At 47.2% G+C, this 3,960-nt stretch overlaps 1 annotated feature.

Moving 5' to 3' along the window:
* Positions 3,442-3,728: a silencer, noted in NCBI's record as "fragment chr6:149753111-149753397 (GRCh37/hg19 assembly coordinates)". NCBI's record gives its function as "represses an EF-1alpha promoter that drives an FKBP-Casp9 reporter gene in an ReSE screen in phorbol 12-myristate 13-acetate-treated (for megakaryocytic differentiation) K562 erythroleukemia cells {active_cell/tissue: K562(+PMA)}" and the evidence as "EXISTENCE:reporter gene assay evidence [ECO:0000049][PMID:32094911]".

Genomic DNA, 3,960 nt, shown 5'->3' on the forward strand with positions numbered 1-3,960 from the left:
AGCACATAGCAGGAGTTTTCCCCATCCTCTGGAGTCCTTGCCAGGGTGTTAAATCCTGTGTCCCCCAAATACACCCCCAAATTGATGGATTCTTGCTTATCCAATCTATATTCTGGCCTCCTTGATCAAGCCCCCTCAAAATGCAATCTCAGAGGTGCTCTCCTGGCTCCTGCAGGCACATGCTGACCAACCCTTCAGATCCTTTAGAGGACAATTGCTGTCCTCCCTGGGCAGGTGCGGGTGTGTGCTGGGATTGAAGACTGTCTGCAGCTTGGCAGCCAGGAGAGGAGGTGACTGCAGCTCCTGAAGAGGCACTTGTGGCTGGGCAGAGGCCTCTGCAGTCTCTCCCAGCACAGGGCACCTCTCACTAGGGAAGGGTGGGCCAACTCTGCAAGCTCCAAGCGCTCTGGGGGTCTGCAGAGCCCACGTCCTTGGAGGCATCCATGTATACGCTCCCATCCCATGCTTGTAGGCTGTGTTTTCCCAGCCAGATGAATGACCTCAGCACAACAGAGCTGCCTTGACTGAGTATTTAAACATCCCCAAAGTCCTGTGACTATCAGATCCTCAACCCACTGGTCAGCTATGTCAGCTCTTCCACTACAGGAGACAAAAGCCTCCTCGGAAGCTACAGAGAGGCCCCATGGCTCTCACACCCAGCCTCCAAACTGCTCAGTTGCTCTATTATCCCTCCCAGGGGCTCAATACAGCTCAGCAGTCACAGCAACTCCACTCTCCCTGCAGCCGCTGAGCCCCCCACGTCTTTCAGATATCTCCATAGCCTGATCATGGCCTAAACTGTATTCTGCCTGGCAGTAGGAAGAAAGGGCTTCATAAGGGCACAGGATAGCATTGGCTGGATGGCTATTCCTAGGAGTGTTCTGGATCCAGAGCAAGCTGTAAGAGCAGCCGTGATGTCTGAGAAGAAGAGAGTTTTGGGCAAGCCATTTACCCCTGCCCGCCTTCGTGTTCTCATCTTAAACCCCACTTTCTGATTGGCTGCAAGGATGAAATGGTAATATATGGAAGTCACCAGCACAGTGACTGTGATGGGGGAGCACTCAAACAGCAGCAGGGAGGGAGTTGGCTCTGGGGTCCTCCCTCCCCATCCTCCCTAATGCAAACAAGCCTCGGCCTCACTGCTCATTACCATTATCACACGTTTGCTAAGAAACCCTCTTCCGGATTTTCCATCATCCTCACTCTTCTTGTCAGGATCCAGAAAGCTGTAAATAGGGCTTCAGTGACATCTATAGGAGTCTCATTCTTTTAAAAATTCAAAGCATGTAATGGCTAATGGTAGCATTTATAAAATCTGAGTAGTAGACGCATAGGTATATGTTATGACATTTTCTGCACTTTTATATGTTTAAAAACTTTTTTAAAGAAAGTTTGGGGGGCAAAAAGAATTTACATAATCCAGAGGGAATTTCACAGGAGAACTCACGGTGGGGACAAAGCCACGGGCAGGTGAGAGCAGAACGACCAGGAGGTTTGGTGAGAAAGTGGACGGGGGGGCATCGGGGGTGTTGCCCGCGACTGGTGAGGGTGGCCACGTGGATGGCTGTGGCATTCGTGGATTTAGAGAACACAGAGAGCAGTGGGTACATGGGAGCAGCGCGATGCCAGGGGGACATCCAGTAGAGCCGTTGGGGGCAGCGGGCCCCTGAGGTGTGTTCCCAGGGAGAGGCAGCCACCTGTCAATGATGGTTCAAGCACAGAGTAAAATGGCCAATGGGAGAGGGCGAGACAAGAAGAGCCGCGCCGGCACTCACAGCCAGGCAGAGCTGGAGAAAGCGCTGGAAAAGGGAGAATTGGAAGCATCGCTACATCAAAACAGCCGAATTTTGAAAAAGCAAACAGAGGAAAACGTTCACAACAGATAAAACAGACAAAAGACTGCTGTTCTGAATAGGTATAGTGTTCTTACCGTGAATAAATTAAAAACACCAAGATTCTGATCACCAAGTAGGTAAAATACTTGAATAGATGATTCACCAAAGAGGAATTAAACGTGTTAACAATCCTACGGGGAAAAAAAGTTAAACAAATGGACTTGAAGCTTTTCACCTGTCATGTTGCTGGTGTGGTGCTGATGACAGTGGTTTGGGGGATTGTTTTAATGGTCTTGCTGGTGAAGAAGTGATGACTTGCATTGCTGGTGATGGTGATGGTATACAATTGCACGGCTTTCAAGAAAGCAGCTTGGGAACAGGCATCAGAGGCCTTAAAATATCACATAATTTGCTTGCATCTAACTGGGTCAATTTATGCCAAAGGTATTTTTATTTATAATAGCAAAAAAAAAGAGACATAATGTGCAATAAGTTTAGTCTCTCCACTGGGGAAAATGTAGTTCCCACAGATCATCCTTACAGAGTTTATAATAAGACGAGGAAATGCTCATGTTATTATAAAGAGACAGAGTTTCACTCTTTTGCCCAGGCTGGAGTGAAGTGGCACGATCTAGGCTCACTGCAACCTCCGCCCCCCACCAGGTTCAAGTGATTCTCCTGCCTCAGCCTCCCAAGTACCTGGGATTATAGGCCCCCACCACCATGCCTGTCTAATTTTTGTATTTTTAGTAGAGAGGGGTTTTGCCATGTTGCCCAGGCTGGTCTCGAACTCCTGACCTCAAGTGATCCACCCGCCTCGGCCTCCCAAAGTGCTGGATTACAGGGGTGAGCCACCACGCCCGGCCATAATATTATTTTTAAAAACAGAATTTTTTTGGTCAGTGCTAAAGGAGAAAATTAACTGGTTTATCCCATATGCAAAGATGAAAGAGAAAAATGTAATGATCTCAATAGATGTAGATAAAGCATTCAGGGAATTCAAAGATTATTCACACACAAAAAAATACAACAATAACAGACTGTGAAGAAAAAAGAACCCATTCATAATAACAATAGTGGTAGAAATCTACATGGTACTCAGAAATAATTTTAATAAAATATGCACCCATACATTTGTAAAGAAAATTACAAATCATTATTAAAAGAAATAAAACATTAATGCAAACATGGCAGGGTGTTAAAATTCAAGTCAGGCAGCCACCTTGGGAGGCGAAGGCAGGAGGATCACTTGAGCTCAGGAGTTTGAGACAGGCCTGGGCAACATGGCCAAAAATACAAAAAAATTAGCCAGGTGTGGCGGTGCGCACCTGTGGTCCCAGCTACTCAGAAGGCTGAGCAGGAGAATCACTTGAACCTGGAAAACAGAGGCTGCAGTGAGCCAAGATCATGCCACAGCACTCCAGCCTGGGCAACAAAGTAAGACTCCATCTCAAAAACAAAAAAAAAAAAAATCAGGCATTTGTTACAATAGTCATATATACACATAATTTTATGTATGTTCAAAATAGTTTATTATGAATTTTAAATGAAAACATATTTAATTTGCCTTAGCTGTTACATCTTCCATCACAAAGAGCTGTAACTGCCAGGGTGCAAGTGCACGTGTTTTTTCCTGTGTTTTATCATCCTCATCCTCAGCTGTTCACTGGTTACTGGCCTGGGGCTCCGAGCTGCTAGGCTTGTGGGAACCCCATGACAGGGGAGAGAGCCAGTGGCAGTTCCACCGGGAGCGGGGTCAGATTTGTCGCCAACCCAGGTCAATGCTTGTTGTGCTACAACGGCGCCACCTAATGGTTGGTGCTGGTTCTGACATGCGTCCCTGGGTCTGAAGGGACACCAGCAGCTGTGTTGGGCAGCCTGTTTCTAGCCACTCTGTGTAAAGAGAATAAAGGATTCAGGACTGGTGCGGATTACCGTTGATCAGCTCCTTTCTCAGCTGAAGCAGACCAGCGCCTTCCCCTCCAGAGAATTTCGACTGTGCTTTTCCCCTCTGCCTTCCAGAAGTTAAGGGAGTGGAGTCCTATGTTCTGGAGGGCTCCCTCCTGGCATCCTTGCCAACACTATCGCAATGTTGGAAGCTCTTTAAAAATCATGCCTCAAACCC

The sequence above is a fragment of the Homo sapiens genome, chromosome 6 (genome assembly GCF_000001405.40).
Source record: "Homo sapiens chromosome 6, GRCh38.p14 Primary Assembly".
Taxonomy (NCBI): Eukaryota; Metazoa; Chordata; class Mammalia; order Primates; family Hominidae; genus Homo; species Homo sapiens.